Consider the following 24552-nt stretch of genomic DNA (forward strand, 5'->3'; position numbering starts at 1 on the left):
ATTTTATTTAAAAAATGGAAGTTAGATTTTTTCATATCTTTGTTCCAAACCCTCCAGTGGCTCCCATCTGATCTTTTTTTTTTTCCCATCTGATCTTATTCCCTGCACACTCCTACCTCACTCTGTCCCATCCAAACTGGCCTCTGAGTTGATCCTTTTTTTTTTTTTTTTTGAAATGGAGTCTTGTTCTGTCACCCAGGCTGGAGAGCAGTGGTGCGATCTCGGCTCACTGCAAGCTCCGCCTCCCGACTTCATGCCATTCTCCTGCCTTAGCCTTCTGAGTAGCTGGGACTACAGGCACCCGCCACCACGCCTGGCTAATTTTTTTTTTTTTTTTGTATTTTTAGTAGAGACGGGCTTTCACTATGTTAGCCAGGATGGTCTCGATTTCCTGACCTCGTGATCCGCCTGTTATCAGCCTCCCAAAGTGCTGGGATTACAGGAGTGAGCCACCGTGCCCGGCCCTGAGTTGATCCTTGAACATATAAGCATGTTCCCTGCCTCAGGATCTTTGCACTAGCTGTTCTCTGCCTGGAATGCTATAACCCAGATATTTTCATAGCTCACTCCCTGAGTTCATTCAGCTCTCTGCTCAAATCTCATGTTAGTAAACAAGCCCTCACTGATCATCCTATATATTAAATAATAACCCCACCTCTGCCCCAGGATATTCCCTTACACTACTTTCTTTTTTTCTTTTTTTTTTTTTTTTTTTTGAGATAGAGTCTTGCCCTGTCGCCCAGGCTGGATTGCAATGGCGTGATCTTGGCTCACTGCAACCTCCGCCTCCCGGGTTCAAGCGATTCTCCTGCCTCAGCCTCCCGAGTAACAGGGATTACAGGCACGCGCCTCCACGCCCAGCTAATTTTTGTATTTTTAGTAGAGACGGGGGTTTCACCATGTTGGCCAGGCTGGTCTCGAACTCCTGACGTCGTGATCCACCCTCCTTGGCCTCCCAAAGTGCTGGGATTACAGGCGTGAGCCACTGCGCCCGGCCCAATTTTTTCTTTTTTAAATAAAAAGCAGTGGGCTGGGCACGGTGGCTCATGCCTGTAATCCCAGCACTTTGGGAGACCGAGGTGGGTGGATTACCTGAGGTCAGGAGTTCGAGACCAGCCTGGCTAACATGGCGAAATTCCGTCACTACTAAAAATACAAAAAAATAGCTAGGCGTGGTGTCGCGCACCTGTTATCCCAGCTACTCGGGAGGCTGAGGCAGAAGAATTGCTTGAACCCGGAGGCAGAGGTTGCAGTTAGCCCGGATCATGCTGCCATTGCACTCCAGCCTGGGCAACAGAGGAAGACTCTGTCAAAAATAAAGAAATAAATAGCAGTGAACACACCATCCCTTATACTACTTTAATTAATAAAGAGCCATGCCCTTGTATTTAATTTTCACCATAACTCTGCCAGACAGGCATTATTATTATTCTAGTGTTTTTCTTTGTTTGTTTGTTTGAGACTGAGTCTCACTCTGTTGTCCAGGCTGGAGTGCAGTGGCATGATCTCAGCTCACTGCAACCTCTACCTCCCGGATTTAAACGATTCCCCTGCCTCAGCCTCTGGAGTAGCTGGGATTACAGGTATGCGCCAGCAGGCCTGACTAATTTTTGTATTTTTAGTAGAGACAGGTTTTCGCCATGTTGGCCAGGCTGGGCTGGAACTCCTGACCTCAGGTGATCTGCCCGCCTTGGCCTCCCAAAGTGCTGGGATTACAGGTGTGAGCCACTGGGCCCAGCCTTATTATTCTAGTTTTATATATGAGGTAGGAGAAGATACCAGGAGTTAGGTGACTTCCCCAGTCATAGAGCTAGTGAATGATGAAGCTGGGGTTCAGACCCAGGCCCATCTTTCCCCTGGGCCATGCTATTGATCTAGGTGATTATGCAAGGGTGTGGCAAATTGTATTTTCCAAAGATGGCTACCATAAGACCTCCCATCTCACACGTTTCCCTTATAATGTGTGACTTTGACACTCCTCCCTTTAGGCTCCCTTTAGGCAGCCTTGTGACTATGGTAGAAGTGATATTATGTGACTTTTGAGGTTAGATGACAAAAGATGATACAGCTTTCTCCTTATTCTCTTGGGACACTTGTCTTGGAGACATGAGTAATCAGTCTGATTGCCCTGAGGTCATCAAGTTGTGGGGAAGCCCAAACTAGCCCCATTGGGGAGGCTACCACAAGGAGAGGGCTGGAGAGTATGTGAATGAACAGAGATGCCCAGACAGACCTGGGCTGCTCCAGCCCCTGCTGGTTTACCTCCAGCCACCGACTGACTGCAGCTATATGAGACACAAAGTCAGAACCACCCAGCTGAGTCCTGACTGAGTCCCTGACCCACAGAAATTGGACAGATAATAAAATGTCTCAAGCCACTAGGCTTTGAGGTGATTTGTTCTATGCAGTGATAGATAACTAGAATAAAGGGAGTGGGATAAACTTTGCAGTATCCTGTGGGGGCAAGTCCCTTCTTTCTGGGCCTAAGTTTCCCTTGAAAACAGAGGGAGTTCACTCAATGGTCTCTAAGGATGTTTTCAGCCCTGATGTTTGGTGCTTATCCATAATGTTGCCACATCCCTCTCTGCCCATTTTCACTGCCTCCATTCCATTCCATTATGCTATCATTCCATTATTCCCAGAGAGAAAATGAATGCCCTCAGACATCAAGGGATGTCTATGGATCTGCTGAGGAAAGGCAGGTGCGTGCCTCTGGCTCCAATCTGCTTGAGATCTCTGGAAGTGCAGATGTGGTGTAATGAAGTGAAGTGCACAGGATTTGGAATCTGGTCACTGATTGGCATTGGTTGTGTGATCCTGAGAAAGTCTCATAAACTTCTCAGGCCTCAGTTTCCCCACTTGTGAAATGGGGAGAATAGCACCAGCCCTGCTCTCTAACAGGGTCCCTGTGAGGGTAGAATGAGAGAGTGTGTATAAAAGTCAGGTATGTGTACAGGAGGTTAGAGAGTGGGGGCTGAGGTGAGTGGTTGTGGAGGCATTGGGGGATCCCTGGTAAAGTCAGTTTCCTACCCTGGAGCAGGAGAGGGGGTTGGCAACAGAAGCAATGACGGGAGGCTGAGCTGGGCTATGCTGGGGCTTGCCTTTGAGCAATTGTTTCTGTCCTAGTGTCTTCAGGAATCTAGCCACTATTAGCCCCTTTACATAAAAGGCATCCTTTAGTCCAGGTTTCTGTTTCTGTGAAATTTTTCTAGCACGCCCCCTTCGCCCATTTAAAAATCACCCAGTAAAGAGGGCTTGTCTCACTGCTTGGATTTCCAAGAACATCCCTGATATGGTTTGGCTGCATCCCCACCCAAATTCCATCTTGAATTGTAGCTCCCATAATTCCCACGTGTTGTGGGAGGGACCTGGTGGGAGATAATTGAATCATGGGGGTGGTTTCTCCCATACCATTCTCATGGTAGTGAATAAGTCTCACGAGGTCTGATGGTTTTATAAGGGGAAACCCCTTTCACTTGGTCCTTATTCTCCCTCTTCCCTGCCGCCATGTAGGATGTGATTTGCTCCTCCTTGCCTTCTGCCATGATTGTGAGGCCTCCCCAGCCACGTGGAACTGTGAGTCCATTAAACCTCTTTCCTTTATAATTGCCCAGTCTCAGGTATGTCTTTGTCAGCAGCGTGAAAATGGACTAATACAATCCCCCACCCAATACTTGTTTTTGGCAGAAATCCCACTATTCTTTGGGTAACTAGAGCTTAAAACCTTAAAGCCTCCTCTAACTCCTCTATTTTTTTCCAGCTGGCCACCAAATGTTGTCCAGTCCTCCTTCTCCCATGGCCCTGTGTCCATTCTGTCTGATCACCTCAGCCCTTGTCAGCACCCTCCTCACCATGCCAGGCTCATGACAAGCGTTTCCTACTTGGTCTCACGGCCGTCAGGCCTACCGGTTTCCCTCATGCATCCAATCTGCAGTGTGCCTAGAGGCTAAACATCCTACCATGCCATTGTTATCACCTCACTCCTCAAGTCAGCAGCCTGGGATCACTCCTATGATTCTTCAGGCTGTGTGATGTCAAGGCAAGAGTACTAGAAGTCACTTCAAATTCTGGCTCTATTGTCTGCAGCTGGGTGGCCTTCAGGAGACAGCTAACCTCTCTGAGACTCCAAACCCTCACTGGTAAAATAGACGGACATTCTATGTACCAGGCACTGGTCTAAGCACTCATGTACATGAACTCTTTTGACCCTCAAGACAACTCTGTGAGGTAGGTGCTCTGCTTAACCCTCATTTACAGATGGGAAGACAGAGGCACAGACAGCTCCAGTCATCTGCTTGTGTTCATGCAGTTAGTTAGGTGACAGCTGGGCGATGAAGCCAGGCAGTCTGCTCCAGGGACCCTACTCTTATCGCTGTCCTACCCTCGAGAAAAGTGACTGATACAGCTGGTGAGGGCCCCTGGCTGATGCTCTTCACTTCTTGGCTCTAATTTCTGCTTCCCTGCGTACAACCTAGTGGCTGTTCCTTGGAGGATTTTGGAACAGGTTGGGCTGGCAGCCTCATGACTTTAGGATCCTCCTAAGCCTGTCTTAATAGTGGCTTTCTTTTTTGGGTGGTCACTAGACACATGAGGCTGATTTCTGGCTTTCACTCCAGACTTGAACGGTAACTATACTGCTCCAGAACACCTCAGTACCCAACCCTCAGGATTCCCTACTTTCCTGAGCATTTTTCTGAGGACTTATCAATAAACCCCTCCTCCAGGGCCTCCACTTATAAGAATTTATCGCTCTTGGCCTCCCTACCCTTCACCTGGAGAGTGGATTCTCAAGTTTTCCTCTTCTCTCCTTAGCCTCCTTTTCACACAGAGTTTTGCGTATTACCAAATGAGAATGCAGAGACCAGAGAACAGGGAACAAGGGCTGTCACTCTTCATTCACACCTCCATTGACCCACCCACAGATTGTGGGCAGGAGCAGGGAGGGGACCCCAACTCAGTGCCAAACATTCAATAAATGTGAGTTGAATGAGTGACTGAATTAATACAAATGAAAAAACGTGCTAGGCCCTGACCTCGAGCAACTTACCGCCTAGCAGGGCAGACATATTCACTCACCCCACATGCCCCCAATAAACAGGGGGTGCAGAGGCACCTGTGGGCCCTAGACTTCACGGAGACCCAGGGGCACGCAGAGCTGGCCCTTGTCCTCACCAGGTAAGGGATAATCCTGCCCCTGCTTGTTCTGGCCTGTCACTGCCTCTCCAAGACAGTGCTGGTCAGCCTAAGAAGTGGGGGCCCCAGGATGGAGACAGAGTCTGTGCTGGGAAGGAGTCAGGCACATCCAAGTAGCCCACCCTTTGTGAGGCCTTCTGCCAGCGCAGGGGCCTTTGGGTCCTGAAACAATGTTCTTTCCCTCTGATTGTTTCCTTCCCCCATCCTACCCCTACCTCACCACGGGAGGTGGAGCCAGCAGCCCCAGGGCTGAAATCCAAACCCAGCCATTGTTCCCTATCTTTTGGCTGTTTGACTGTGTGCATGTCTGTGTTGGCACACTTATCGTGTGCCTCCAGGGCTGTTGTGCCAAAGCGCAGGCCCTGCATACCTTGCTTAGGATAGCTGAAAATACCTGCTCAGGGAAAGAGGGAGCTGGGCCAGGGAGGATACCGACGGTGGGCTTTAGGGTGAGTTGAAAAGTGATAGGAGGCTTTGCCCTCTGATAGGATGAGTGTGCAGTCATGCAGCTCCTATCCAAAATGTCAAGCAGGCGGGGTGCGGTGGCTCACACCTGTAATCCCAGCACTTTGGGACGCCAAGACAGGTGGATCACCTGAGGTCAGGAGTTTGAGACCAGCCTGGCCAACATGGTGAAACCTTGTCTCTACTAAAAAATTAGCCAGATGTGGTAGTGGATGCCTGTAATCCCAGCTACTAGGGAGGCTCAGGCAGGAGAATTGCGTGAACCCGGGAGACGGAGGTTGCAGTGAGCCGAGATCATGCCATTGCACTCCAGCCTGGGCAACAAGAGTGAAACTCTGTCTCAAAAAAAAAAAAAAAAAAAAGTCAAGCAAAGGAACACACCCATTGAAACCACAAGGGTGTGCAGATGCATGTACACAGACCTGGAAAGACGAGAGGGTCACTCATAGCTAGAACCATGCATGTGAAGCACCGCGGTACCACTCATTCATGTACTTGTGGAGCCCCTTCCACTCTGGAACTACCCAGGGCTGATGGGGTGGTGGGGGAAGCACCAATATCACAGATGGGTCATGGTCCAGCCCTTCCAGTAGCTGCTAAAGGAGTCATCTCTGGAGATTTACTTGAAATTTTTGGGCCAGGTGTCATGGCTAACGCCTGTAACTCCAGCACTTTGGGAGACCGAAGCAGGCAGATCATTTGAGGTCAGGAGTTTGAGACCAGCCTGGCCAACATGGTGAAACCCCACCTCTACTAAAAATACAAAAATCAGCCGTGTGTGGTGGTGCACACCTGTAGTCCCAGCTACTCAGGAGGCTGAATCGCTTGAACCCGGGAGGCAGAGGTTGCAGTGAGCCAAGATCGCGCCACTGCATTCCAGACCGGGCGACAGAGTGAGTCACCACTTACAGAGTCCAGTTAAAAAGAACAAGGTTGCCGGGCGTGGTGGCTCACGCCTATAATCCCAGCACTTTGGGAGGCCAAGGCGGGTGGATCACCTGAGGTCAGGAGTTTGAGACCAGCCTGGCCAACATGGTGAAACCCCATCTCTACTAAAAATACAAAAATTAGCTGGGCTTGGTGGCATGTGCCTGTAATCCCAGCTACTTGGGAGGCTGAGGCAGGACAGTCACTTGAACCCGGGAGGTGGAGGTTGTGATGAGCCGAGTTCGTGCCGCTGTACTCCAGCCTGGGAGACATGGCAAGACTCTGTTTCAGAACAAAAAAAAGAAAAAAGAAAGAAAGTTTCTTTCTTTCTTTTCTTTCTTTCTTTCTTTCTTTCTTTCTTTCTTTCTTTCTTTCTTTCTTTCTTTCTTTCTTTCTTTCTCTTCCTTCCTTCCTTCCTTCCTTCCTTCCTTCCTTCCTTTCTTTTTTGTTTTTGAGACAGAGTCTCGCTCTGTCACCCAGGCTGGGGTGCAATGGCGCCATCTCGGCTCACTGCAACCTCCGCCTCCCAGGTTCAAGAGATTCTCCTGTCTCAGCCTCCCAGATAGCTGGGATTACAGGTGCACACTGCTACGCCCAGCTAATTTTTGTATTTTAGTAGAGACGGGGTTTCACCGTGTTGCCCAGGCTGGTCTTGAACTCCTGAACTCAGGCAATCCACCCACCTTGGCCTCCCAAAGCGCTAGGATTACAGGCATGAGCCACTGCGCCCGGCCTGAAAGAAAGTACATTTCAAGGCTATATTTTAAGAATAAGGAGAAGGGAGAAAAAAGAGTTTACACAGTAAGCTTCAAGGTTACATCTTGAGACCTGAGAGAAAGGAAAAGAAAGGTTTGAAAATGCATTTTGAAGTTAAGCTGCCCAGTTACACTTTCAAGGCCAACTTTCAGGTGTTGACCTGGGATGGAGGGAGGACTTCCTGATTCAGCAAAGAGATGAGGGACTGGAGAACTGCCCAGCTCCTACTGGGTCAGAGTGAAGCAGAGCTGGACAAACAGGTCCCAGTGCAGTCCAGAAAAGAGAGGTAAACCACTTCTGCACTTTCTGAGCTTTCCCAGGATTCGATTCACAGTCTGAGAGGGAAGGCACAGACTCTAGCCTCAGGGTGCCCAAAGTCTGAGGTGAGGGAAACAAGCTCTGCTCTCAGGGAGTTCCTGCTTTAGAGTTGGGAAAGTGAGATCTCACCAGAAGCCAGAAAACAAGACTTGGTATCATATAAAGATGTATGGATGGCCAGGTGTGGTGGCTTATGCCTGTAATCCCAGCTCTTTGGGAGGCTGAGGCAGGAGGATCTATTGAGTCCAGGAGTTCAAGACCAGCCTGGACAACAAAGTGTGACTCCGTTTCTATAAAAAATTTAAAAAGCATTGGTGGTACAGTGGTGAACATAGATGCCCTCCAAAAAAATTAAAAAATTAGGCAGGTGTGCCTAGAGTCCTAGCTACTTGGGAAGCTAAGTCTAGAGGATCGCTTGAGCCCAGGAGTTTGAGGCTGCAGTGAGCTATGATCATGCCACTGCACTACAGCCTGGGCAACAGAGCGAGACTCTGCCTCTAAAATAAATAAATAAAAAAAAACAAAAACAAAATAAGAACACAACATTAACTCCTAATTTTTTACAGCCCCTGGCAATGACCATTCTATTTTCTTTCTTCTTTTTTTTTGAGACGGAGTCTCACTCTGTCACCCAGGCTGGAGGGCAGTGGCGTGATCTTGGCTCACTGCAACCTCTGCCTCCCAGGTTCAAACAATTCTCTGCCTCAGCCTCCCAAGTAGCTGGGATTACAGGCATCTGCCACCACACTAGGCTAATTTTTGAATTTTTAGTAGAGACAGGGTTTCACCATGTTGGCCAGGCTGGTCTCGAACTTCTGACCTTGTGATCTGCCTGCCTTGGCCTCCCAAAGTGTTAGGATTACAGGCGTGAGCCACAGCGCCCGGCCGACCATTCTATTTTCTATCTTTATGAATTTGACTGCTCTAAGTACCTAAAATAAGTGGAATCATTCAGTATTTGTCTTTTTGTGACTGACTTATTTCACTTTGTGTGGTATCCTCAAGGTTTATCCATGTTGTAGCCTGTGTCAGAATTCCTTCCTTTTCAAGGCTGAATAATATTCCATTGTATGTATTTGCTACATTTTGTTTATCCATTAATCCATCAATGAACATTTGTGTTGTTTCTACCTTTTGGCTATTGTAAAATAATGTTGCTATGACCACAGGTGTACAAATATTTATTTGAGTTCCTACTTTAATTATTTTTTGAGAGATAAAATTTTTTTTTTTTTGGGACAGAGTTTTGCTCTTGTTGCCCAGGCTGGCTCACTGCAACCTCTGCCTCCTGCATTCAAGCGATTGTCCTGCCTCAGTCTCCTGAGTAGCTGGGATTACAGGCATGCACCACCACACCTGGCTAATTTTTTGTATTTTTAGTAGAGACAGGGTTTCTCCATTTTGGTCAGGCTGGTCTCAAACTCTCGACCTCAGGTGATCCGCCTGCCTCGGCCTCCTAAAGTGTTGGGATTACAGGCGTGAACCATCGTGCCCAGCCAAATGGTTTTAATAATATGAAGAATGCAAGTTCCCACCAAGTTTCAAGGTCTTTAAAATTACATTTCTTACACTTCCATAAAATTCAACATCCCAAGTTAGGAAAAAGTCATTACATCTAATAAAAGCTCATCCACCAAGTTGGCAGCTGTGGACTTCTATTAATAGACTGAAGAATTAGGAAATGTGTATAACTTAAATCTAGGGAAGTAGATTAAGTTATCACCTCTTGAAGTTTTGAAATCATTGTTATAACAACCATGTATACATGGTTCAGCATCACAAAATCAGAGTCACAAATAGGAACATAGCCTCATGGCTTCACATTGTTAGTAGATAATGTTGCTGGCAATCAAAAAGGCTGCATATGGCCTAAGGCCCTTCTAGCTGTCATAATGAACAGGTCACACGACTGTGGGGCTGAGTCCAGTATGGTTTTGACTCCTCTTTCCCAGCAATTTCCTTTAATACCTGAAGCTCAAATTGCTATCTTTGTCCACTGCTTCTATTCCAAGACCCTTTTGCCTATGTAGAGTGTGTCATGCCAACCCCGGACTCCACACCAAGCACATCTGTCCCAGCAGGGTGACTAGTCCACATAAATTAAATCATCAGAAAGGACTGCCTTGGACCTAGGTGGATTATGCCTTGAGAAATGCTTGACCATGTTTGTGCAGATGGGCCCTGCATACCTGCAGCCCTATAGACACCAACCATATGAAAATTGTCATCAAAATGAAGTGAGCCTGACTCTTCCGCAACTTGCAGCTATTTCTTAAGACCCTGAAAGCTAGAAGGACCCCTAATTTTTACCACTTTCCTCATGGTTCTCTCACAAAGATAGAGAACAACTATTTTATTGTGGCCTAATAAATATTTAGGTACATAAGTGGGTTTGTCCATCCACAGAGGGAGGAATGATGAAGCAAACCAGCCTCGCTACAATGAAAATAACTTTATCTCTCATATGTTAAAAGTTAAAAACTTGTGCTTGCTTCAGCAGCACATATACTAAAACTGGAATGATTCAGGGAAGATTAGCATGGCCCCTGTGCAAGGATGATACATGAATTCGTAAAGCCTTCCATATTAAAAATAATAATAGGCCGGGCGCAGTGGCTCATGCCTGTAATCCCACCACTTTGGGAGGCCGAGGCAGGTGGATCACAAGGTCAGGAGTTCAAGACCAGCCTGGCCAAGATGGTGAAACCCCGTTTCTACTAAAAATACAAAAATTAGCTGGGCGTGGTGGTGGGCACCTGTAATTTCAGCTACTTGGGAGGCTGAGGCAGAGAATTGCTTGAATCTGGGAGGCGGAGGTTGCAATGAGCCGAGATCGCACCACTGCACTCCAGCCTGGACGACAGAGCGAAACTCTGTCTCAAATAATAATAATAATAATAATAATAATAATAGGCTGGACATGGTGGCTCATGCCTGTAATCCCAGCACTTTGGGAGGCCGAGGCAGGTGGATCACCTGAGGTCAGGAGTTTCAGACCAGCCTGACCAACATGGTGAAAACCCATCTCTACTAAAATACAAAAATTATCTGGGTGTGGTGGTGGGCACCTGTAATCTCAGCTATTTGGGAGGCTGAGGCAGAAGAATCGCTTGAACCCAGGAGGTGGAGGTTGCAATGAGTAGAGATCATGCCATTGCACTCCAGCCTGGGCAAGAAGGGTGAAACTCCATCTTAAAAAATAATAATAAATCATAATAATAATAAAAAACTCTAGAGGACTGTGATTCCTATTCTTTTCAAAAGTATGTTTATGTTTACTGATACTTCCCTTGTTTCCAAATATAAACTTGAATTGCTTTTCAAATCTATAGTTGAAAGTACAACAGCCTTTCTCCCTTTGTGAACCCCAAAACAATTTCTGGGAAGGTTGAAACGATATCTAGGAATTATACCTATTTAGAAAAGCAAACCAGCTTCCTAAATTTCTTCCTTCAGCCAGATACCTTTTGGTAAACAGCAAAAGTCATTTTGTTTTTTTTTTTTGAGATGGAGTCTTGCTCTGTCGCCCAGGCTGGAGCGCAGTGGCACGATCTTGGCTCACCACAACCTCCGCCTTCCGGGTTCGAGCAATTCTCTTGCCTCAGCCTCCTGAGTAGCTGGGACTACAAGTGCATGCCACCATGCCCAACTAATTTTTGTATTTTTAGTAGAGAGGGGGTTTCACTATGTTGGCCAGGCTAGTTTAGTTAGTGTAATTTTATTAAATTAATTTTTAAAAAGATATATAGGATAGAAAGGCATGGATGGGATGGGAAATAAAAATGGCTGACCTCTCCCTCTGGGAATCTGGAAGCCTCTGCTGAGGTTTTTGTGTGTGTGCGTTGATGGGGGGTGGGTACATGAGATCAGCTTCACCAAGGGGCAGACCAGCTCCATCTCTAGGCCCAGGGAAATGGGATACCTTGCTGCTCTGAAATGTTGATGAGCTGCGGAGGGGAGAGGGACAGGGGAGCAGATGGAATTCCTGGACAATTGTTCCGGCTGTCACCAGAGAGGATAGGCTGGAGGGGGCCCTGGATAATTTATGGAGGGACAGATGCTTCTCCGGAACCATCTGGCCAAGAGAGGCCTGGGCTCGGGGTGGATGATGTCTTTAGGTCTGAGGAGACTCCTGGCCTCCAGCCTTCCTCATTTCCTCTACCTGGCCTGCTCGGTGCCCTGGGGCTTTCCTAGGATGGCTGTGCTCCCTGAGGACCCAGCTGCAGAATTCCACCTGATCCTCATCTCACTCTCTCCTTTGCTGAGTCTGGGGCTTGTCTTTGCTACCATTCCTGTTAGTGCTAAGTGGGGCCTTGAGGTCATGTAACTTCCATCTATGCATTTTCTTATTTTATAGTATTTTCAACCCCTCTTCTCCACCAGTATATTCCAAAATCTGTCAATCACCAACCTCCATACCATTTATTCATTCAATAAATATTTACTGGCCGGTGCAGTGGCTCACACCTGTAATCTCAGCACTTTGGGAGGCTGAGGCAGGTGGATCACTTGAGGTCAGGAGTTCGAGACCAGCCTGGCCAACATGGTGGAATGGTGGAACTCCCATCTCTACTAAAAATACAAAAAATTAGCTGGCATGCGCCTGTAATCCCAGCTACACAGGAAACTGAGGTGGGAGAATCACTTGAACCCGGGAGGCGGAGGTTGCAGTGAGCCGAGATCGCACCACTACACTCCAGCCTGGGCAACAGAGTGAGACCCTGTCTCAAAAATTAATTAATTAATTAAACAAACAGAATAAAAAAAATCTATTGAATACCTACTATGCCAGGCATTGTTTTAGACACTGGGGATACTGTGATGAGCAAGAAAACATCCCAGACCTCTGGAGTTTGCTTTGTAGTGGGGAGATGATCAATAAACAATAAATATTTAATATAATGTCAGATAATGATAAGTACTATGAATGAAAACATTAAAGCAGGGTAAAGGAGAATAGGGATGCTGATTTAGATTGAGTGGCCAAGGAAGGCTTCTCTAAAGTGATGACACTTGAGCAAAGACACAAATGAGAGTCAATATTTGGAGGAAGAACATTCCAGGTATGGGGAATAGCAAATTTAGAGACCCTGAGGCAGAAATATGCTTAATGCATTGGAGGAAAACATGCCATTTATTCATTAGGCAATTATTGTGTGCCAAGCACCTGCTAGGGAGTATGAAGATGCAATCAAACATAGTTTTTGCCCTGAAGAAGCAGCAGGGCAAAAGTGGTATAACATGTAAATAAATAATTACACTGCACGGGACAGCTACAGTAAAGCTATGTACAAGTTGCTAGTGATGCCCAGCAAAAGGAGCACTAAAGGGAAATCTTTCTGGGGGAGGTGACATTTTAGCTGATGGTTTGAAGGAATAGGAGGAATTGATGATGCAAAGGAGGAGGAGAGAGATTAGACATCTTAAGGCCCGATGTCCTGAAAACAAAGGACAATTTGGGAACCTGAAGTTCCCAGGAGAGGCAAAAAATGAGGCTGATGAAGGTGGAAGAGCCTGGATCATGCGGATCTTTGAATGCCAAACTGAAAAGCTGGTTTTATTCTCTGGATGACGGGGAACCAGTAGCACGATTCTCTCTCCCACTGTATCTTTGAGATGTGTTCCCCTATTCTTTTTTTTTTTTTTTTTCTTTCAGTACTGGATTCTTTCCCCGCTTCCCGCTATTGCCCTGCTCCTGACACCTCCTTCCTTCTGTGGCCAGTCCTCCAATCCCTGCTTTCAGGAGAGCCCCATTTTTCACCATCACCTACCTAGTGTCCCACCTCCCCAACCCGAGGCCCCGCCCCCATGGCCCCGCCTCAGATGACGCGACACGCCAAGTGCGTGGGGATTCCCGCGGCCCTGGCCACTACCCGGCCTGCCCCGCGGCAAGATGGCGGCCTGAACGCAGCTGGCAGCGGCGGAAAGTTTGTTGTGGGGTTGGAGTAGTCGGGCGGGGAAGCCAGAGTTGGGGAGGATTGCGGGGGCCCTAGCCTGTAGTAGGGGCGAAGGGGGTACTGGCTCCAGGGTTGAAAAGAGGAGATGGAATGGAGTAAGGTCCGAGGCGGAGAGGAAAAAAAGGAGCTGGGGCGGACCGGGGCCCTAGGGTCCAGTGGCAGCCCTAGGGGAGGGGGATTTGGGGGCGGGGCAGCCAGAAGTAGGTGTTGTGCAGGCCCTGGAGAAGCAGAGTCACAAGTTGGAGGAAAATTTCTTAGCCGCGAATAAAGAAGCCTGGAGCGTGGGATAGAGGCCCGACTGTATCTGGCCGGCCAGAGGGGAAAGGGATCTTTCTAGTAGAGTGGGATAGTGAGGAAGAGAGATCTGGAGGATGCCGGGCAGATCTGCTAAGGAGGGAACTAAAGCCAGTCAAATGACCCTCTTCTAGGCTTAGATCAGCCTTTCCACAGCTGTTAGCAGCATCTGCCCCAATTTCAGCTGAAGATTCAGGTGCCCCAGGGACTGGAAGAAATTACAGTGCCTACTTGGAAAGAAGAAGAGATAGCGACTTGCCCCAGTCCAACCCCAGAGCGGGTAAGGTGGCTTCCAGTGACAGGTTTCTGGCTGGCATGCTCCCTGGGAGGAGGATGCATGGGCTTAGAGTGATGCCAAGAAACATTTGGTCTGAAAAGGGCTCACTTTTATAGAGTTTGTCCTTTGTCTGAGGTCCTTAAGTTAGTGTTTGGCGTAGATTGCAGGCTGACTTTTGAGAGTTGGTGTAGAATTAAGCCTTGTGTGCCTTCACCTATGCAAGTAAACCTGGACAGAGGCCTAGAGACCAGGCCGAAGGATGTTAACACATCCCTGTCACAAGCAGTTTCCTACATGCTCATTGTTTCTGCTTCAATATCCCCATCACTTCTTCACTTTGGCGTCCTGCCTGGAAGTGGAGATTTGTGGGTGACAGATGGTGGGGAGTCACGAGAAAACAAATTCTGATCGTGTTCACTGACCATTTAGGTACCTGCTGTCACTGACTCCTGAATTCATTCTCGCTGTGTGTCTACTTTTGCTTTTTTGGTAAGAAGGGCTCATTAGTGTTCCTCTGGGGATGTGGATTTTGGTGGGGGTATCAGAGGTGAGGGAAAGGCAGGTTGGGATTAGAGAGAAAAAATGTAGATCAGTTTCTGGTAAGAGATCAAGTGGACTGATGTAAAGCTCTGGGAATGTTTAGCACCGCACTGCCTATCCTTGAGACCCCTAATATTTGAGAGCTACTTTACAGTTGGACAAGTGTGGTGATGCAAAGAAAGGATCATGGAACTTGCTCTTTTCTTTTCTGGTAGTTTTTTTCTCTCCTTTGTAATCTTCCCATCAAACCACTTTTGAAAAATATCAGTCTCAGTAGCCAAACTAAGCATGGCCTGAGAGGTAGTGGATTTGGTGTTGGAGAGAAAGGAAAGGGACTGGAGCCAGAGAACACAGTGAATGTGGCCTTCACTTCCTTTGGTGAGTGTTTTGCCCTAGCCAGAGTTGGGAGTAGCCTTCTTATTGAAGCCTGCTTCAGGATCAGCATCGCTTCATGGTGGACTAGGATGGTTTGATCTAGAACTCTTCATTTACTGTCTGCTCTGTACCTGTCCCCCCAATCAAAGGCTTACTCCAAACAGAACAACCCAAGTCACTGTTACTAGGTCAGCTTCAGTACCTTTAGGTATTTGAAGAACTGATGATATGTAGCTGTGACTCTGTTTCTGAAGGTTGAGAACCTCCTTTTTCTGAGGACAATTCGTGCCCCCTTTCAAATTGTAATTGTAATCACCCAAGGGTAGTGTGGTGAACACACATAACAGTTAATAGCACTGACTCTGAGCCCGGCCTAGTGGCACATACCTGTAGTCCCAGCTACTTGGGATACTGAGATGGGAGGAGCACTTGAGGCCAGGAGTTTGAGGCTGCAATGCACTATGATGGCACCTGTGAATACCCATTGTACTCCAGCCTGGGCAGCGTAGGAGATGCAGTCTCCAAGAAACAACAAAAAAAGCACTGGCAGGGTGCAGTGGCTCACTCCTGTAATTCTAGCATTTTGGGAGGCCGAGGCAGGCGGATCACGAGGTCAAGAGATCGAGACCATCCTGGCCAACAAGGTGAAACCCCATCTCTACTAAAAATACAAAAATCGGCTGGGCGTGGTGGCATGCGCCTGTAGTCCCAGCTACTCAGGAGGCTGAGGCAGGAGAATCGCTTGAACCTGGGTGGTGGAGGTTGCAGTGAGCTGAGATTGCACCACTGCACTCCAGTCAGGTGACAGAGCAAGACTCCATCCATCTCAAGAAAAAAAGCGTCTCCAAAAAAAAAAAGTCTGTTTGACTTTGCCATTTGTAGCTCTGTGACCTTTATTAATGGCATAGCTTTGTATGCCTCAGTTTTCTTATCAATCAAATGTGGGTAGTAAGAGTATCTATCGCATAGGGTTGTTGTGAAGGTAAATTAGTTAATACATTAATATGCTTACTCAGTGCCTGACAGTAAGTTTTAGTTATACTAGTCAGATCTCAGCACTAATTTCTGTTTCATGGTTGAACCTGCTGTCTCTTTATATAGATAGCATCTGCATTGGTTTGGGCTGCTAGCCTGATGTTAAAGAGATGAAGCAGAGCTTTTGGATAATACAGATTTTTTTGTCGTGAGAATATCCTCATTAGGCTATTTAAGGCAATGTTAAAATGCCAGTGATTTCCTGTTTGAAGCTGTGAGGCTACACAATTATCTTTGCAGTTGAGTAATGATGATAATAATAACAATAATGGTGCTTATTGAGCACATTCTGTGCGTAGGACTGTTGTAAGGGCTTTTCATGTATTAACTAATTTAATTTTTGACTTTTTTTTTTTGAGACGAAGTCTCGTTCTTGTCGCCCAGGCCGGAGTGCAATGGTGCTCTCCTCACTGCAACCGCCGCCTCCCAGGTTGAAGTGATTCTCCTGCCTCAGCCTCCCAGGTAGCTGGGATTACAGGTGCCCACAACCATGCCTGGCTAATTTTTGTATTTTTAGTAGAAACGGGGGTTTCACCGCATTGGTCATGCTGGTGTCAAACTCCTGACCTCAGGCGATCTGCCTACTTCTGCCTCCCAAAGTGCTAGGATTACAGGTGTGAGCCACCGTGCCTGGCCAATTAATTTAATTTTCATAATCATATGAAGTAGATAACTTATTATCCCTGTCTTACAGATGAGAAAATGGAGGCAGAGTGGTTAAGTAATTTGCTTAAGATCACCCAGCTAGTAAGTGACAGAGCTGGTATTTGAACCTAGGCATTCTAGCTTCAGCAGTTGAGCTTTTTTTTTCTTTAGGTTGGTATCAAGTTAACTTAAATATGCGTAGTGGCAATTTGTATTTCTTGTTTGTTTGACTATATCCTGGTTCATGTTTGTTTGTCAGGATGGTTAAATGTATATCCATATTGTAGTAGAATTTTTTTTGATTATTTAAAAAAATGTTTAGGGGCTGAGTTTTTCATCACAACCCTCTCCTTCCTCTCAGAAATAGTAACTGGTGCATGGGCTGTGGTGAGGGAGCCTGCTGTGCCATGTCAGTCAAATCTGGGCTGTCTTCATGATTCAACTTGGTGATGTGATGCAACCTTGGGCCTGGGTTGAATGGACAGACTGACATTAGAATCTACACTGAGCACACCTTAAAGGGGTGTGTGTGTGTTTAATGTAGATGTACGTATAAGGCTCATTTCTGACTTTGATTACTGACATGAGCAGTTGATTAGCCGTAGTAAATATTAAATTCATAGTCTGGATATAATTTTTAAAAAATAGCAAGACATCACCCCCCCCCCAAAAAAAAACTTAACAGTCAATGTCTTTCCTGAATAAAATTAATAAAATTTGAAACAATAAATAATAAAAATAGGAAGTAGCAAACTACACAGAAAAAAAAAAAAAGAAGTGGCATTTTAAATAGCTTCGTCCCCTCAGCTGAATGGGAAAATAGAAAACAAATGTGCTGCTGAAGCCTATGTTGTTTGAAGAAGGCCCTGGCAGCGGTGCTCAGTCTCTCCCTTTAGCCAGGCAGGAGGCCCAGTGTAGCCTTGAGGTAGAGGTGTGCCCAAGGTTTCATTGACTGGCTTTCCTTTGCCCTGTATTTAAGACTCACTCTCCTCCTCCTTCTGAGTCATGTCCTGTCTATTTAACACACCTTCAGGGCCCTTCTTTTTCTTCAACAAATGACTCTCTACCCTGCCATTGAAGTAGGCATGTGTCTGCCATCTAATTAGATTTCAGGGGAATTGCGGGCTCAGGACTTTGGGCTTTCCCTGGGAACTCTGCACTGGCCCTCTGATGACCTTTCCTATTTGTTTGGCACATGTGATTTTGAGAAGCAGACGGTATCTGTCAGACGTATCGCTCCCCACTTCATGAACTTGGGAGCCATATATCTTAGGATAGTGTATTTTATCTTGCATTGCGTGGCAGTCAGCGTGCTGAAACGTGTTATCTCTAAAGAGTATACCTTTGTACTTTGGTAGACGTCCTCAAATTTTCTGGATTCGGGTCACATTTTAGTAAACTATGGAGTTGCAAGGTGAAGGATGATGGATTTTGAGCTGATTCTTCCCCTTTATTGTTTTCTTTGTTGTGTAAATCAATTCTCAGGGTGCCCCTTATTCAGATATTTATGAAGCCAATCCCTTCACTTCCTTCTCACCACCATATTTTGAATGCCAACGACCTCTGGGTGAAGGAACCTTCATTTCTCACCTGGATTCAGGCTCTTAAATAGCTCTCCAAACTGACCTCATTCTAGCCTCTAGATCTTTGCATACACTGGTGCTACTCCTTTGCCTACCTTTTTGTCCTTCAGGTCTCAGTTTAAACGTCACTTCCTTTAGTATCTCACCCCTGCCCCCTTGAGTGCCCTTCTTCTGTGCTTCTGTCCGATACTTATGCTGTGTCATAATTGCCTGTTTACTTGTCTGATTCTCATAAGACTAAGTGCCCTGAGAACAGAGACTATGTCTTATTCACTACTGTGTTTGTAGCATTTAGGACAGTGCTGGGCCTTAATAGGTGCTTTATGATGCCGTGGTGCATGTAGAATGAATAAAATGTGGTCAGCAGTCTCTTCTCACACCAGTCTATCTTCCATGGTGCTGTCAAAATTATTTGCCTATAAAATAGTCTTCCTGGCTGGGCGTGGTGGCTCACGCCTGTAATCCCAGCACTTTGGGAGGCTGAGGTAGGTGAATCACGAGATCAGGAGTTCGAGACCAGCCTGATGAACATGATGAAACCCTGTCTCTACTAAAAATACAAAAATTAGTTGGGCGTGGTGGTGCGTACCTGCAATCCCAGCTACTCAGGAGGTTGAGGCAGGAGAATCACTTGAACCCAGGAGGTGGAGGTTTCAGTGAACCAAGATCGTGCCATTGCACTCCAAACTGGGCAACAGAGCAAGACTCCATCTCAATAAAAAAAAAAAAAAAGTCTTCCCTTAGAAATGCCATGGGTTCTTCCTTACTTAAGTTAAAGCCCACACTGTCTGGCTTGGCATGCCAAAAGGCTCCTTATACTGGGGTCCAGACCCAGACCATTAGCCTGAGTTGCTGCTATTCCACCTCATCTGTCCTGTGCTTCATTGCTCCCAAATTTCTCACTGCTCCCAAACCTATCATGGGCATCCATTTAGTTTCATCTTCTTTGCCCATGTACTTCACTCAGTCCATAATGCTCACCTCTGCCTCTGAAACTGCCCATCCCCTAAGACCCAGCTCCTTTGTCACCTCCAGTGAGAAGCCTCCGCTGCTTTTCTTTCCTCCTCTTGGTCCCCTGCAGCACTTTCTTTGAACCTCTGTTTTGGCACTTACCATGTTGTTTGGTGAGGGCTCTGTTTACTTGTCTGTTTCTTTCACTGGGCTGATCTCCTGTAGACAGGGGACTTTGCAGAACATGTGGTGGAGAGGAGTCGGTGGGAATGGTAATGAATAGTGTGAAAGAATCTGATTGTGGAGCTAGGCAGACCTGGTTTAAATCCTAATTCTGCCACTCACCACCTGTGCAACTTTGGGCAAGTTCCTTAACCAGTAGGATTCTTGGTCTCATCTTGGTCTCTAAAATGAGGTTGGCTGGGTGTAGTAGCTCACTCCTGAAATCCCAGCACTTTGGAAGGCTGAGGCAGGAGGATCACTTGAGGCCAAGAGTTTGAAGCCAGACTGACTGAGCAACATAATGAGACTTTGTCTCTACAAAAGACATTCAAAACTTAGCTGGGTATGGTGGCTTGTGCCTGTGGTCCTAACCCTCAGGAGGAGGCTGAGGTGGGAGGATAACTTGAACCCAGGAGTTTGAGGCTGCAGTGAGCTATGATTGCACCATTGCACTCCAGAATGGGTGACAGAGCCAGACCCAATCTCTAAAAAAATTAAAAACAAAAAAAAAAATAAAATATGGGTGACATCTTTTTTGCAGGAGTAATGAGTTCATAGCATATAGCATGGTGCCTGGCATATAAAAGACACTTGGGGCTGGGCACGGTGGCTCATGCCTGTCAATCCCAGCACTTTGGGAGGCTGAGGTGGGTGGATCACCTGAGGTCAGGAGTTCGAGACCAGCCTGGCCAACATGGTGAAGCCCTGTCTCTACCAAAAATACAAAAATTAGCCGGGCATGGTGGCAGGCACCTGTAATCCCAGCTACTCAGGAGGCTGAGGCAGGAGAATCGCTTGAACCCGGGAGGTGGAGGTTACAGTGAGCTGAGATCATGCCACTGTACTCCATCCTGGGGCACAAGAGCGAGACTTCATCTCAAAAAAATATATAAATAAATAAAGGACACTTGGTAAATATTTGTTGAATGAATAAATTTCCCATTTTGGAGCTCTGCAAATAGGAAAAGGCTTTGTTCTATTAAATCTAAAATAAGCCTTTTGATTTCTGCCTGGTAGCCAGGAGCATTTTGAGGTGGGAGTAAAACGGAGTCTCCTTTCTTGTGAGGAAGCAGTAAAAAAGGTGAGATTAGGAGCATCATCAATGAGCAGCCTGTGCAGAGATTGTTGGTGTTTCTCCCCATCTCTGTTTGTTTGTTTTTCCCAAGACGGAGTCTTGCTCTGTCATCCAGGCTGGAGTGCAGTGGCACGATCTCAGCTCACTGCAACCTCCACCTCCCGGGTTCAGGCAATTCTCCTGCCTCGGCCTCCTGAGTAGCTGGGATTACAGGTGCCTGCCACTGTGCCTGGCTAATTTTTTTGTATTTTTAGTGGAGGCGGGGTTTTACCAAGTTGGCCAGGCTGGTCTTGAACTCCTGGCCTCAGGTGATCCACCCACCTGGGCCTCCCAAAGTGCCAGGATTACAGGCGTGAGCCACCACGCCCAGCCTCCCCATCTCTTGTTTTGTGATGACTCCTTTGATGATCGTGATATGCTGGCCTTCTCCAGTTCTGGTGAGGTTGGTGGTGGTGGATTCGTAATGTAATTAAGGCTGGGGATAGACAGAAAGCTGCTCACAGTGGATGACTGGATGGAGAGTTTCAATATCCATGTTTCCCCATATTTTATGGATTGAAAAATGGGTGAATCTGATGGAACACATCCAGGCATTGAGGAAGCCAGACTTCTTGGCCCCACTTTTCTTAGGGCTTTAATGGTCTTCCTGTGCCACAGAACAGGCTTAACTTGGATGCTTCCCACAAGTGGGGCTGATAGCTGCATCATGATCCATTCTTTGCTTTTTTGTTTCTAGTGTAGTTGATGGGGGTAGTCCTTAGAGCCCCAATTGCTAACAAACACCAAATGAATTTCTTTCCAGAATTAAGTGTATAATGCCAGGGATACTCCAGTGCGAGTTTACAATCAGATGAGGAAGATATGTCTGAGTTCTCTGGATGGCAGCCTTGTCTGGTCCTTAAACCCTTGTCCCAGCTAGGTACCTCTCCTCTGTGCTCTCAAAGCACTCAACCACACTGTACTGGAAGTGACTGTTAACCTGTCTCTCTCCCACTAGGAGTAAGATCTTCTGTCTCTGAAGCTTCTTAGGGGCAAGCTTTTTTACTGAAGGCCAAGCATTTAGGCACTATAGAGTAAGTGCTGAGCAATGTTGGTTACTGTGTGACCCAACTCAGTCCTTCCTCAGTGGGATTAAAGAAGATGGAATCTATCTGGCAAAACCTTTTGCACCCTCAGGAAGGAAGGTCCTGCATAAACAAAAGGTGATAGTGTTAACAATAGCATTACTAATTATTTTCCAGGATTGCATTCATGTGGTTAAATCATCTTCCAGGTGCTTGGCTTCAGCTGTCTCCCTTTTAGCCTTTTTATGTTTTTTTTTTTTTTCTTTTTTTGAGACAGAGTCTTGCTCTGTTGCTCAGGGTGGAGTGCAGTGGCGCGATCTTGGCTCACTGCAACCTCCGCCTCCTGGGTTCAAGCAATGCTCAGCCTCCCGAGTAGCTGGGACTACAGGCATGTGCCACCACGCGCAGCTAACTTTTGTATTTTTAGTAGAGACGGGGTTTCGCCATTTTGGCCAGGCTAGTCTGGAACTCCTGACCTCAGGTGATCCGCCCACCTCGGTCTCCCAAAGTGCAGGGATTACAGACGTGAACCACCATGCTCGGCCAGACGGTTTATGTTCTAATAACACATCCCTAAGCAATCAGAAAGGGGGTTAAAGGAGGAGGTGAGTACGTACCAGTAGCTTTCCAGTAGCTTTTTTTTTTTTTTTTTTTGAGATGGAGTCTTGCTCTGTCGCCCAGTTGGGAGTGCAGCGGCGCGATCCCTGCTCACTGCAACCTCTGCCTCCTGGGTTTAAGCAATTCTCCTGTCCCAGCCTCCCGAGTAGCTGGGACTACAGGTGCCTGCCACCATGCCCGGCTAATTTTTGTGTTTTTAGTAGAGATGGGGTTTCACCTTGTTGGTCAGGCTGGTCTCAAACTCCTGACCTCAGGTGATCCACCGGCCTCAGCCTCCCAAAGTGCTGGGATTACAGGTGTTAGCCACCATGCCCGGCTCCAGTAGCTATTTTTTTTTGCCTAATTAGCATCCCTAGAAAGGTCTTTGGCTGCTGGCTGCTCCTTTGTAATTCTCTATGCTGCCCTTTCTATTGCCCACTGTAACCTGCTTGCTTTTCTGGTCCTATCTCTAGTCCCATCTAGGCGTACTCAGTGCTCACAGCCAGAGCTTAATACAACCTTGTTAATGCCCAGATAAATCAAAAGGATGAAACCAATAGCTAAAAATGGACTGAAGGAGTTTTCCCTGGGTTCTCTCCCTTGTCCCTGGGTGTGAGAATGTGCATTGCGTTGTGGCATATCTTTGCAGATGGCAACTTGCGGGAAGTAATAAACTGCGTTTTATGTTAAGCAGAGAGGGGGTTGAGTGAGCCAGCCAGACTGGATTGTGTTGGATATCTTAGGCTTCAAGGGGACTAAGTCTCCTTGACTGGTCCTGAGTAGAAGGGTGGGACCTCTTCTTTGTTAGTTACTATCTTGTGCCAATTGTGTGCTAGGTGACATTTAGAATTTATAAAGGACATGGCCCCTCTTTGTGAGAAGCTTCTGTGCTGTGGTGGGGAACTCAATACCATCCCTTGAGAGGAGGATCCGCCTACGGAGAAGCCATCCTAGACCCCAAAACCCTGGACTTCTACTCAGCTAACCAATAGGATAAAACTCTGCTTATCATTTTGGGTACCAAGCGGTGGTTGGCCTCTTTATACCTTCACAGGTAGCCCAAGTAGGGAACTGAATCTCAGAAGTCTTTGAGGGTCTTGATATTAGGGCAGAATTGTCCTGGTATTCCTGTGGCTTCCTGGAAAAGAGCTTTCCAGGCTTTGCACTGGTATTGGAGACAGGGGAACTGGGTTATGTCCCACTTCTGCTTGTGGTCTTGGGCAAATCACTTGTGCTTTCTGACCCTCACAATGGGAGAGCTCCCTATTCTTTGTGCCTCACTGGACCATAAGCATCAAAGGAAATATCATGGAAGGGAAAGAGCTTCTGGGATGATAAAGCACAGTGTAGATGCAGGGTTTTTGTCTGTTTGCCTAGGAACTGTTGGTTTCACCATAAACATACATCCCTTGTGTAAAATGCTAACCATACAGAAAAGTATACAAAATAAAAAGTAAGAAGATCCTCCCTTTCTTCTCCCATTGTTCCTGCCTAACTTGTTTCCCCAAAGATAGGGAACCACTGTTCGCCATTTATCTTGTACCCTTCTAGTAGTTTTTTTTTTTTTTTTGAGATGGAGTTTCGCTCTTGTCACCCAGGCTGGAGTGCAATGGTGCCATCTCGGCTCACTGCAACCTCCACCTCCCAGGTTCAAGCGATTCTCCTGCCTCAGCCTCCCGAGTAGCTGGGATTATAGGCGCCAGCCAACACGCCCAGCTAATTTTTTGTATTTTTAGTAGAGACGGGGGTTTCACCATGTTGGCCAGGCTGGTCTTGAATTCCTGACCTCAGGTGATCCGCCTGCCTCAGCTTCCCAAAGTGCTGGGATTACAGGCATGAGCCACTGCACCTGGCCTCTAATAGCTTTTTTTATACGTCTAGACATTCCTCACCAAAACTCAATATTAATACAGACTCTTCTTCAGCTTTCTTTGTTGACTTAAGTGACCAAGGAGTGGAATGGTCCCTGTTGGAGCCGCTGAGGAGCCTGGTTACAGCCTCCTTCCCAGTCGAGTGAGTTCCTCTGGGGCTGGCTCCCTGGGAGGGATGGAGAAGTTTTACTAGAGGGTCTTGCCACAGCAGGCACCCTGGCTGTCTCTGAGGGACATTTTTTTATTCTGAGATGAAATTGGCAGGAGTGTCCTTGAGTGGGAATCAGGATGGATATAACAGCGATGTGGGCATTGGCACTCCCATCTCACCTGTGTCTCTCCCCTTCACTCATTTCATTTTTGCCTTGGAAAAGAGAAAAATTATCTGATTTCTCAAATCCTATATT

At 46.8% G+C, this 24552-nt stretch overlaps 1 protein-coding gene and 1 pseudogene across 55 annotated transcripts in view, besides 1 other annotated feature; both read left to right on the forward strand.

Annotated features, from left to right (window-relative positions):
- Window positions 10144–10250, forward strand: RNU6-1113P (RNA, U6 small nuclear 1113, pseudogene; annotated as a pseudogene).
- Window positions 13528–24552, forward strand: part of TJAP1 (tight junction associated protein 1) — a 28985-nt gene continuing 17960 nt past the window's right edge. For 14 of the 55 annotated variants that reach the window (XM_024446586.2, XM_047419542.1, XM_024446584.2 and 11 more), the window contains exons 1-3: window positions 13528–13586; window positions 14045–14190; window positions 14617–14676. The gene's annotated coding sequence lies outside the window, so the exon portion shown is untranslated. Of the gene's footprint in view, window positions 14191–14616; window positions 14677–24552 lie in introns of all 55 variants that reach the window. The other 41 variants (NR_146793.2, XM_047419533.1, XM_024446587.2 and 38 more) reach the window with 6 other exon arrangements.
- Window positions 13878–14671: an enhancer, noted in NCBI's record as "H3K27ac hESC enhancer chr6:43445658-43446451 (GRCh37/hg19 assembly coordinates)". NCBI's record gives its function as "activates a minimal SCP1, AML or CMV promoter by ChIP-STARR-seq in primed H9 embryonic stem cells {active_cell/tissue: H9 hESC(primed)}" and the evidence as "EXISTENCE:reporter gene assay evidence [ECO:0000049][PMID:30033119]".

The sequence above is a fragment of the Homo sapiens genome, chromosome 6, assembly GCF_000001405.40.
Source record: "Homo sapiens chromosome 6, GRCh38.p14 Primary Assembly".
Classification (NCBI taxonomy): domain Eukaryota; kingdom Metazoa; phylum Chordata; class Mammalia; order Primates; family Hominidae; genus Homo; species Homo sapiens.